At 41.9% G+C, this 12,505-nt stretch overlaps 1 protein-coding gene across 1 annotated transcript in view; it reads left to right on the top strand.

Annotated features, from left to right (window-relative positions):
• Positions 1-10,294, top strand: part of PUDP (pseudouridine 5'-phosphatase) — a 442,316-nt gene extending 432,022 nt beyond the window's left edge. The window contains exon 8 of the transcript XR_007068202.1: positions 9,666-10,294. The gene's annotated coding sequence lies outside the window, so the exon portion shown is untranslated. The remainder of the gene's footprint in view (positions 1-9,665) is intronic.

The following is a 12,505-nucleotide window of genomic DNA, read 5'->3' as shown; positions in this document are numbered from 1 at the left end:
TTTTTTTTTTAGCTAACATATTCATTTAGGCTCACAAGTATGTATTTATCATTTTGGAAGAACCTCTAAGCCTTTCTTTTATTTTGGTGATTAATAGATATTAGATAGAATCAAGAACATGATCTAGTTTCGTGGGAGCCCTTCTCTGACATGCCTTGGGTTTCTGTTGGAAGATATTTCCCTGGTCCCTACCCCTGGCCTCTCACCTGGGTTCCCTGCCTTTGGCAGCTCAGCCTGGCTTCTCCCACACCCCACTTCAGATCTGCTATTAGCCATGCAAGATAGGGCAGTGGGTGGTTCTGTGCTTCTTGCAGTTCTGAGGGTAAGCCTGCCCACTTCTGGATCTCTATCCAGGGAACCCCAGGGCTGCTACGTACCTAATCATGGCCTCCAGTATTCAATTCACCAGTGATAATACCAACATTTTGAACTCACTTCGTCCTGAGTCCTCTGTCTACCTCAACTGATGCAAAACTCATGTTGTGAAGGAGAGCTATTTATTCAGCCTCTTACAAATGTTTGCTTGTTTAGCCCTTTTAAAAAAAGTCTAGTTATCTGCAATTACATAGTTTCACTGATTAAGGCATCATTTATTGAATACATTCCATGAGTAAGGTAATATACCGGCATGTATCATTAGCCATGACTTGACAGTGTCTGAGCTTAGTCTAACTACTGAATGTTGCATTTCTTCTATGCATCTTTTTCTCTCAGGGAGAAAATCTTTACCTGTTACTTGACACCATTTTGGGGGTGAGATCAGGTGCACAATTTTATTAGATTAAGGCCATTTAGCAAAACTAAGAAGTATCCAGAGCATGGATGATTAAATAATAAAAGCATAGCCACACAATGGAATGCTGCGGGGGCCACAAAATGATGTACAAATATTTATTGGGATGGAAAAATGATCATGATCTATCATTAAATGAAAAAATAATATGGGTCAAGGATGTCAGTTTATAAAATTAAAATAAAACATGATCAATATGAACTACCTTTTGGTAAAAAATATTTTTATAAAAATATGTGTGTATACATATTTATGTTCCTTTACATTTTATGTGTATATATACATTTTGATTTATAAGGATGTATGTCCTTATAAAATATGTACACACACACACACACACACACATATATATATATACACACACACATACACACACATATCTATATCTATCTCCTGCAGAATATATATACATATCCTATTGGGTCTAGATTAACTGGAACAGGCAGTCAATTTAGGACACATAAGTTCTGAGTGGTGACAATGATGTGTTAAAGGAGGAATAAATGAAGGTTGGTTTGAAGAATCACTTGCAATACATGAGTCAACAAAATATATCCAATAGACAAGACACATCTTTATCTATATATATACATCTATATCTCTACCTATATCTATCTATCTATCATCAATCATCTATCATCTCCATTTATCTGTCATCTCTATTTATCACATCTATCAATCATCTCCATTTATCTATCATTCTATCATCTCCATTTATCTACGTATCTATGTATCTATCTATCATATCTATCTATCATCTCCATCTAGCTATTGTATCTATCTATCATATCTATATATCATCTATCATCTCCATTTATCTATCATCATCTATCATATCTATCTATACATCAAAAGACATATAGACTGATCTATCTATGCATCTATCCTTTCATTTACACACATGTGTATCCTCCGTCGTTTGTGTGTATCTGTCATACCTTGTTATCTACCTTTCTAGCTGTCTATCTATCCACTCATCACCTATTTATCCATGTAGCTATCTATCATCTAGCTATTGATTTATCTCCCTACCTCAATTTTCCAATGATTATTTCTTGATGGTTGAATCTAGATGAATGACCTAAACTTTTGCATTTTCTGTAATAAATACATACTATGGTTCATGTAAAATGAATAAATCAGTTGAGGCTGGGTATGATGGCTCACACCTGTAATCCCAGCACTTTGGGAGGCTGAGATGAGATGATCACTTGAATCAAGGAGTTGGAGACTAGCCTGGGCAACATAGTAAAACCCTGTTTCTTCAAAAAATACAAAAATTAGCCGGGTATGGTGGTGTGCGCCTGGAGTCCCAGTTACTCGAGAAGCTAGGTGAGAGGATCGCTTGAGCACAGGAGGTTGAGACTGCAGTAAGGTAAAATCATTGCACTCGATCCTGGGTGACAGAGCAAGACCCTTTCTTCGTAGTAATAATAATAATAATAATTCTAAACCATTGGAGACTCTGTTGTTAACATTATTAGTTTAAAATGGGACCTGTTCCCTCTTAAGCTGTGCTCTTCACTTTTCCATCTGGAGACGGCTTCAATCTATGGATCCACAGTGCCCGACAGTCCCTTCCCGGGCTCCCAGACCACACCCTATGCCCTGGCCTGGTTGTGTCAGCCAAGAAAGAAAGGTATATCCCAACAGAAAAATGCTCACTGTGGCCTCTCCTGGGAGATACATAGATGTTCCTCCACTTACGATGGGGTTACATCCCGATAAGCCCATAATAAATATAGTAAGTTGAAAATGTATTTAATACACGTCACCTATCAAATATCATATCTTTGCCCAGCCTGCCTTAAACATGTTCAGAACACATACATTAGCCTATGCTTGGGCTAAATCATCTAACACAAAGCCTATTTTATAATACAGTGTTGAATATCTCATGAAATTTATTTCAGTATTATACTGAAAGTGAAAAAAAAATTGTATGAGTACTCAAAGTATGAGTTCTACTCAATGCATATCACTGTTGCACCGTCATAATGTCCAAAAATTGTAACTCAAACCCTCATAAGACAAGGACTATCTGTAAATAAATGTAAAGTTTTGGAAATGGCATCTTGTTTCTAGACACTGTGCTTCAAATGGAAAAAAACAAAGTTAAATAATTAGTGATCCTTTCCATTAAGTTGTGAATCTCCATGGACTTGCCATTGTGCAAATTGTGGGGGATGTGAAGATGAAAAGACAGGATTCCAGGCTCAGAGGAGGAGGAGCCAGGAATTGTTTTCTGAGCCCCAACATTAAGCCTTTTGGTGTTTCTTTTTGTTTGTTTTTTTGAGACAGTCTGGCTTTGTCACCCAAGCTGGAGTGCAGTGGCACGATCTTGGCTCACCGAAACTTCCACTTCCTGGGTTCAAGCAATTCTCCTGCCTCAGCCTCCCGAGTGGCTGGGGCCACAGGGCACGCCATCATGCCCAGGTAATTTTTGTGTATTTAGTAGAGACAGGGTCACACCATGTTGGCCAGGCTGGTCTGGAACTCCTGGCCTCAAGTGATCCACCCGCCTCAGCCTCCTAAAGTGCTGGGATTACAGGCATGAGCCACTGTGCCCGCCCCTTTTGGTGTTTCTTATGCAGAATTGCAAGGACCCAGGGAAGACTTAGTAGCATGGGGCTTTTGACTTTCTTGAGTTTTGGAGTCCTGATCCTGTGAGGGCTGCTTCCACAGTATATGGCTCCCCAGAATCCCCAAGATGAACATGGTGAAGGTGCAGGACCCTTGTTCTTCTAGCCAAAATCATTGAACCGCTTCATCTTACTGCCTGTTGCCTAGAGAGATGAGGAGCTCCTTATCATTGCCCGACTTTAAGCTCTCATGATTTGTATATTCCAAAGCACTGTTTCCAAAATTCCCACTAGAATTTGGCTCATAGGCTGGGCGTGGTGGCTCATGCCTGCAATCCCAGCATTTTGGGAGACTGAGGCGGGCAGATCACTTGAGGTCCGGAGTTGGAGACATTCTGGCCAACATGGCAAAAACCCGTCTCTACTACAAATACAAAAATTAGCCAGGCATGGTGGCACATGCCTGTAATTCCAGCTGCTCCAGAGGCTGAGGCTAGAGAATTGCTTGAACCTCGCAGGCAGAGGTTGCAGTGAGCTGACATTACGCCACTGCACTACAGCCTGGGCGACAGAGTGAGATTCTGTCACACACACACACAAAATAAATAAATAGATAAATATTAAAATAAAATAAAATGTGGCTCCTTGAGGGCATTGCATCCTTTGGTTCCCTAGCCCTGCACCAATAGGTGGCATGCAGTTATTTTGTGGATGTGGAGAGCAGTTTAGAGATGAGTCAACTCCAGCCAGAGAGCCCGAGTATGCTGACTCCAGGAAAGAAACATTGAATGCTGCACATGCTGTAGATTGACAGTCTGAGGATGCGACTATAGGTGATCAAATGTAAAAGCAGAATATTGGCTGTGCCTGAGGCACCCAGGCCCTGTGAGCTGGACACAGTGGAGAAGCAGTGCTTCCTGGCTTTGAGAGCACAGCAGGGAAGGTCCCATAAGCTGCGGTGAATTGGACACAATGAAGGCTTTGTGCAGCCCCACGTGGACCAGAATTTACTAAGGAGACAAAGCCTAAATCTCTTCCTTAGCTAATGTTGTGCTCAGAGAACACTACCCCAAAACGAAGGCCTCAGAAGAAGCCTCGGAAGGAAAAGTTTCTTCCTCACCTTCTCCTGCCCTCCTGTCTGTCAGTCCCATTCTCCCTCCAGGCCTCATAAAAACTAGAATTTCTCCTCCCCAAGGTGGTTCATAGAAACCAGAGCCCCTTTTGCCCCAAAGCCAGACATAAAACCTAAAATAGGACTCTAACTTACCCTCCATCACCTCTCAGTGTCAAAACTGGCCGTAAAGAAATCCTCTGATCTACCTGGTTTGACTGTAGATCCTAAGACCCGCATTCCAGAGAGGGTCTCGCAGCACACCCGGAAGGAAGGAGCGCTGCTCAGAGAGAGAAGCAAGAAGAATCTACACAGACAGGCCTGGCGGGGTTTCCACCCTCAGTCCATTTGCTTTAGATCAGGCCCTTTTCCTCCGATGCTATTTCTACATGGATTTTGTTCATACCTGCTTGAACCTAAGCATAACAATGCACAGTTTCCCTCGTATCTTTGGGTCTTCAGTCTGAAGGCTCCCATGTCACATAAAAATGTTATAAAATAAATGTTTGCGCCATTTCTCCTATTAATCTGCCTCTTGTCAGTGATTTTCAGTGAAACTTCAGAGGGGGAAGGGGATGTTTTCTCTTGTCCCTGACATTCTCAGTGATATTTCCTTCCAGTTGGGACATTTCCACAAAACGGAATTTACATACGTGATCAGTGCAGCTCCACACTTTTCCCCCCTTTCTCCATGGAACCCAGTCTTCAATTGATGAGCTGTGTACTTTGAAGAGATTTACAACAATGAGGCTTTGGGTGTGTCACAACCTCCAGCTATGGAGGAAAACTGGGACGTACACAGTGTTTCTTATTGGCTTCGGAGGAAATTGGATAATCAAAAATAATTATAAATGAAACAAACACACAGAAAAACCCCAGACCTTTGGCACACAGTTATGTGCTCCTACTGTTTGGTCGAGTGAGCAGAAGGTGATTTTATTCTGCGAAATCCAGCGTCAGCAGCTCCTGCACTATTTGGAATGGCACGTCTGACATCCACCACAATGAACAGATGGTGTTAATAGTTCATTTAGTTGCATTTAATAATAATGACACTGCCAAAGTGTTGCTCCTTGAACATTTGACGCCAACCATTTCTGCTGGGTCTAGACTGATGGGAACAGGCGGCTGACTTAGGGGATGTGAGTCCTGAGAGGTCACAGCAATGCAGTCCATGAAGAGTGAGTGAGGCTTGCTTTCAAGACTCACCTCTATTTAACTCTGGGAATGGAGTGGAAGGGTGGCGAGGTCTTCAACTTAGCTACAGTTTTATAGTTTACACTGCATTGCCAAGCAGTGGTTTAATGCATGGGTCAAAGTCAACTGCCCTGTTTCGAGGTGTTACCTGCTTCCAGCTGCAGCTGAGTCTGTCTTGAATTGGTCAGATGATATGGACGATTATATCATTAGTGTGGACTGAAGATTGGGAGTGATTAGAACATTTTGTGCTTAGAGTGTGCTAGGCTCCCAAATTCAGCTTTCATTTGTTTGTTTTTGTTTGTTTGTTTTGTTGTTGTTGTTTTTGGACAGGTTCTTGCTCTATCGCCCAGGCTGGAGTGCAGTGGCACTATCTCGGCTCACTGCAGCCTCCACCTCCCGGGTTCAAGTGATTGTCCTGCTTCAACCTTGTGAGTAGCTGAGATTACAGGTGCCCACCACCACGCCCGGCTAATTTTTGCATTTTTAGTAGAGATAGGGTTTCACTATGTTGGCCAGGCTGGTCTCGAACTCCTGACTTCAAGTGATCCACTTGCCTTGGCCTCCCAAAGTGCTGGGATCACAGGTGTGAGCCACCACACCTGGCCCAAATTTAGTTTTTAAAACGTCCAGTTTCTCTGGTTGTGCCTTAGGTTTGAGAAAATAAGGAAACTTTACAAATAAAATGTATCTAAGTCCCTGACTTAAAAGCGAATTGTCCAACAGATGATGGAAATACATCACCCTATAGTCTGAGCATAAAATTACATCATTTTAAGAACATCAGTCAGAAATACTCAATTCCACTCAAGCAACTTTTGTCGAATGTCCAAGGAAGGAGGGGGCTGAGACTTCTCACCAATGTCACTTTGAATTCAGAGACTGTCAATGACTCTCGTACTAAACCCAGTGATAAACGCTTCGGGTGATGGAGGCACCATTGTTGAGTGAGGGATTCCTTTTGTCTGGGAGATCAAGAAAGATTTTCCAAAGCAGATGGACTAAAAGCTGGACTTTAACGGATAAGTGGACTTGAAGATAGAAGGGGAGTGGAGTGGAAGGACATTTGGGACTGGAGGATGGGTATAAGGGCCTGAGAGTGTGTGATTTATCAAGAGAATCATGAATTAAACAGAAGTGTGATCAGAGCACAGGGCACAATAACACCACGTGTTGGGAGGTAAGATTAAACAGCAAGTGAGAGACCAGACCCTGGAAGATCCTGTGTGCTATGCTAAATACCTTGGGTTTTATTTCACAGGCAATGCAATCTCAATGGGGATTTGAAGTGGGGGGAGTGACATTTCCTAATCTAAATCTTCTAAGAGGATGATTCTAGCAGCTTTACCGTAAAGCCTTGGAGTGATGTGCTCTTTTTCAGATCTTCCAATTCCCTGAGCCATGCTCATCTGTTCAGTGTTTTCAGAGAACAAACTCTACATGCACTGTCTTGCTTAGAAGTGTGTTCAATATATATACCTGTGAGCACAGGTGGCTTCATCTAGGGTAGCTCTTGCCTTGAGGTCTCTGCTGTGTTTAAAACTGAGTAGATTAGTCACTACCACTAATTGCAGCACAGTTTAGAGGGTGTGGCAGGAAGACAGCATTAGGCTGGTCATACCTTTAGACGTTTAAGGGACAGTTCTTCTCGGAGAAACGAGGATTTCTGGGACCTCAGCCAGAGCTTGTTCCTTGATGCTATTCATCCTCAGAGGGTTGTCTTGGGACCTTGGTCATGGAGATCCTGGCAATAAATGGACCATGATGAAAACAACGGCAGCCAAAGAAACCGATACATTATTTATTTGCAAAGGTCATTTTCATTTGATGAAATGATAAAGAACCAGGAGAAGGAGTTACATTTTCTGTCATTGCTAAATAATCTAGTTGATGTGAGCGGTATTAGCATACAGGCTAATGTCAAAATGCAGCTAATTTTGTATGCAGTACATTTTCCCAGAGGCCCCAAGGATTCCACAGATACAATCTCATTAATCTCCTCAGCATTTCTTTGGAGCTACCTGACAGCCATGGGCCATGGTTTATAGATTAAGGAAGCAAAAGGGAGACACCAAGTGTCCTACCTCGGGCTGCAGAGGCTTTTTCTACCCTGGCAGAGAGACAAGTCTTATTTTGGAAAATTCTCTCAACACAGCCCTTCTCACACTGCTTGGGGCATCCTTGCTTCCCAAATGCTACCAGAGGCTGTTGGCATTTCAGAAGAATTCTTTCTATGAGGGTGACAAAAAGATGACTCCCCCATTCAGGAATGTGGAAACAGACAGGCTATTCTTTCTTTAGGGCATCTCTCCTTGGTTGGTCCTTGTTTTGAGTTACTAAAAGTATTTTAAGAATTCAACTTGTTTTTTGAGGGGGTTAGGGTGGGAAGTGCATTTTCTGGGTAATCCAGCCAGGATTGCAGGAAATCCCACCCAAGTTTCTTGCTTTAAAGGAGCTTCGTCGAAAATTAACAGTGACATTGTGAAACAGGGCTCAACCGTGGAAAATAATATGGATTATGATGATAGGTGCTTCTCCACAGTTGCTACAAGGTTATAAAAGAAAGTGCCAACTTCATAGGCTGCCATTAAATTGTGTTTCCAACCATGTTTCTTGTTACTCTGTTGCAATCCATCCTGTGCTCTAAAGCAGGGATGCCCAAGCCCCAGCCACTGACGGGTCTGTGGCCTGTTAGGAACCGGGCTGCACAGCAGGAGATGAGTGGCGGGCTAGTGAGGGAAGTTTCCTGTGCATTTACAGCCGCTCCCCATCACTCACATTACCACCTGACCTCTGTCTCCTGTCAGATCAGTGATGCCATTAGAGTCTCATAGGAGTGCGAACCCTGTTGTGAACTGCACATCCAAGGGATCTAGGTTGTGTGCTCCTTATGAGAATCTAATGCCTGATGATCTGTCACTTTCTCCCATCACCCCCAGATGGGACCGTCTATTTGCAGGAAAGCAAGCTTAGGGCTCCCACTGGTTATACATGATGATAAGTTGTATTTCATTATATATTACAATGTAATAATAATATAAATAAAGTGTACAATAAATATAATGCACTTGAATCATCCTGAAATCATGCCCCTGTATCCCCACTGCAGTCCATGGAAAAATTGTCTTCCACAAAACCAGTCTCTGGTGGCATAAAGGTTGGGAACTACTGCTGTAGAAGGATGCACCCAGCCACAGGTCTGAGTGTGGTGCACTGCTTGGAATCCTCTAGTAGAATTTTTTACTAGTGAAGGACCCTCTAGTAGGATTTCTTCCTCTTTGCATGGGAGAAAAAATTTCCTCTACTTTCTTGGGTTGTGTGGATGAGCTTGCAACACAAACTGGCAAAAGACAAATTAACAGGAGAAAATCATAGATATTTTACTTGATGCTAAGCTTTATGTTACATTGTTGGTTGGTGGTGTTGGGGGGTGCTTCACAAAGAAAAGATCCCTCCTCATCCCCCAAGAAGCACCTAGACTTGAACGCTTTTATACCATTCAAAGAATGATACACTTGTAGACAAGTGACACAACAAAGGACAAGGGTTTTTGGACTTTTTAGGGGCTGTAAATGGTGGGAAGGTGAATATAAAGGGGATGCTGATGGTTGATGAGGGTCATTTGGTAAGGTGTGTTTATTAGATTCTTTTTGGTGCCATCTTGCCCCTGGTCGGGAAGAAGGGAAGCAAGGCAAAATTTGTTTTGCTTTTAGGCAGCTGGCAAAGGGCAGAGAGCCTCATTGTGTGTCTGCCTTTTCTCAAAATAATCCTTACATCACAGTGGCATATTTTGGGTGTCGTATTCTGATCTTCTCCACCTTCACGGCACCTCACTTTTCTTTTGTGTATTGAATTCCACCCATCCTTTAAGAAATTATCATATATGATGACTGATGTCTACTCTGGTAATCTTTTAGAAGTTGTGGTAAAATATACATAACATAAAATTTATCATTTTAACCTATTTATTTACTTATTTTAGGGACTGGATCTCTCTCTATCACCCAGACTGGAGTGCAGTGGCACAATCGTGGCTCACTGCAGTCTTGAACTCCTGGCCTCAAGAGATCTTCCTGCCTCAGCCTCCTGAATGGTTGCGACTACAGGTGAGAGCCTGGCTCATTTAACCTTTTAAAAGTGCATGGTTCAGTGGCATTAAGTACATTCCCCTTGTGCAATTGGTACTCCCATTCACTTCCAGAGCTTTTTTCTTTTCCCCAAAGTGAAACTCCATAACTATTCAGCAATAACTCCTCATCACTCCTTTCCCACTTCCCCAGCCCTTGGTAACCACGAATCTACTTTTTGTTTCTATGAACTTGACTATCCTGGGTACCACATGGAAGTGGAATCATACAATATTTGTCCTTTTGTGTCTGGCTTGTTTAACTTGGCATGATGCTTAGTTCACATGGTGTGATGTCCTCTAGGTTCATCCATGTTGTAGTATGTATCAGAATTTCATTCCCCTTTTAAGGCTGTATTATATTCCATTGTGTACATACACCACATTTTGTTTATTATTTAAGTAATCTGAATTTGTTTGTTTGTTTTGTTTTAAACTTTCTATGCTGATATTGTATTCCTCTGACAATTAAAATAATGGAATTGCAGAAGACACTCATCCTGTTTTGCCAATATTTCATGTGTGAATATACGGTTAACCTTGAAATAGTAATTGGTGCTTTCTAACTGAATGTTTATTAATTTCTTTTGCAGAGGCACAATTCTATTTAAGTGAATTTAAGGAAATAACAGAACAAGCCAAAGTCCTTTGTGATGGTTAATTTTAGGTGTCGACTGAATTAAGAGACACCTACATGGCTGGTTAAGCATTGTTTTCGGGTGTGTCTGTGAGGGTGTTTCCAGAGGAGATTGGCATAGGAGTTGGTGGACTGAGTGGTGGAAATTCTCCCTCAGTGTGGGTGGCCACTGTCCAGTTGGCTGCGGCCCTGAATGGAAAACAGTGAGAAGACAGGTGAATTCTTCTCACTTCCAGAGCTGGCACACCCTTGTGATTCTGCCTTTGGACCTCAGAACTCCAGGTTCTCCAGCTTTTTAACCCCAGGACTTGCATTAATGCCCCACCGGTCTCTCAGGCCTTCAGTCTGGGACTGAGAATTACACCATTAGCTTGCTTTGCTCTGAGGCTTTCAGACTTGAACTGAGCCACACTGTAGGTTCCTGTGGGTCTACAGGTTGGAAAAGGCCTCTCATGAGACTTGTCAGCCTCCTTCATCATGTGAACCCATTCCCATAATAAATCCCCTTCTACATCTCTACCTCTGCCTATCTATTTATCTGTCTATCTATCTATCTATCTATCTATCTATCTATCTATCTCATGTATCTATGTAGCTATCTTGTCTATTTCATCTATGTATCTCATCTCTCTCATGTATCTAATCTATCTTATCTATTTCATCTATCATTTATCTGTCTCATCTACCTTGTCAATCTACCTATCTCATCTCTCTATATATATCTCTCTATCTCCTCTATCTATCCTATCTATCATCTATCTAACTACATACGTACCTACCTATCTTATCTATCTATCTGTCTATCTCATCTGTCTTATCTATCTCATCTATCTCTATTTCATCTATCATCTATCTAATTTATCTAATCCATTTTATCAATCTACCTATCTCATCTATCTATCCTATCTAGTCTATTTCATCTATGTACCTCATCTCTCATATCTCTGTCTCGATCTCATCTATTTCAGCTATCTCATCTCTCTATCCCTATCTATCTCATCTCTCTATTTAATGTGTCTAATCTATTTATGTACTGATCTAATCTGTCTACTTATCTATCTCATTTATCTATCTCTCTAATCTATCTAATCTATTTCATCTATGTACCTCATCTCTCATATATCTATCTTTCTCTCATCTACTTCATCTATCTATCACATCTGTTTATCTCTAGCCATCTCATCTATCTATTTAATGTATCTTATCTATCTTTGTTTTTTTGTTTGTTTGTTTTAGACGGAGTCTCGCTTTGTCGCCCAGTCTGGAGTGCTGTGGTGCGATCTTGGCTCACTGTAAGCTCTGCCTCCCGGGTTCACTCCATTCTCCTACCTCAGCCTCCCGAGTAGCTGGGACTACAGGCACCCGCCACCACGCCCGACTAATTTTTTGTATTTTTAGTAGAGACGGGGTTTCACCGTGTTAGCCAGGATGATCTCAATCTCCTGACCTTGTGATCCACCCGCCTTGGCCTCCCAAAGTGCTGGGATTACAGGCATGAGCCACTGCACCTGTCGTATGTATGTATGTATGTATGTATGTATGTATGTATCTATCTATCTATCTATCAATCATCTATCATTCTCTCTCTCTCTGTCTCTCTCTCTCCATCTCCATCCATCCATCCTATTGGTTCTACCTCTCTGGAAACCCCTGACTAATCCACCCTTCCCTTTATACCTTCATCATCCTATAACCCAGTTGTCACACATGCTTCTAATTTGGAAATAGTCAAGGGCACACGTGCTAATATAGGCAGAGCATGGTTTAGATTAAACCTCTCTCTGCAGGTTCAAACTGCCTCCCACATGAAAGGTTCAGTGAGACCCTCTGGGGCTCCCTATCTTGTATTTGTCAATAATTTTCCAATAGCTGAGCATACATTGCTTAATGAAGTAACCGTCAGAAAAATGAAGCAGAAAACTAAATTACTGAATGGCTAGTTAAGTAAGAAAGCAAGCAGATGCAAGCTATGTAGTGATCTTTTCAGGGTGAATGTCCATATTATTGAGAGAGGAAAACAACCTTGTCAACAAACAAGTCAAACTGAAACATCAGTGAT

Source organism: Homo sapiens, chromosome X (genome assembly GCF_000001405.40).
Source record: "Homo sapiens chromosome X, GRCh38.p14 Primary Assembly".
NCBI classification, from domain to species: Eukaryota; Metazoa; Chordata; class Mammalia; order Primates; family Hominidae; genus Homo; species Homo sapiens.
This window is presented reverse-complemented; position numbering and strand designations above follow the sequence as displayed.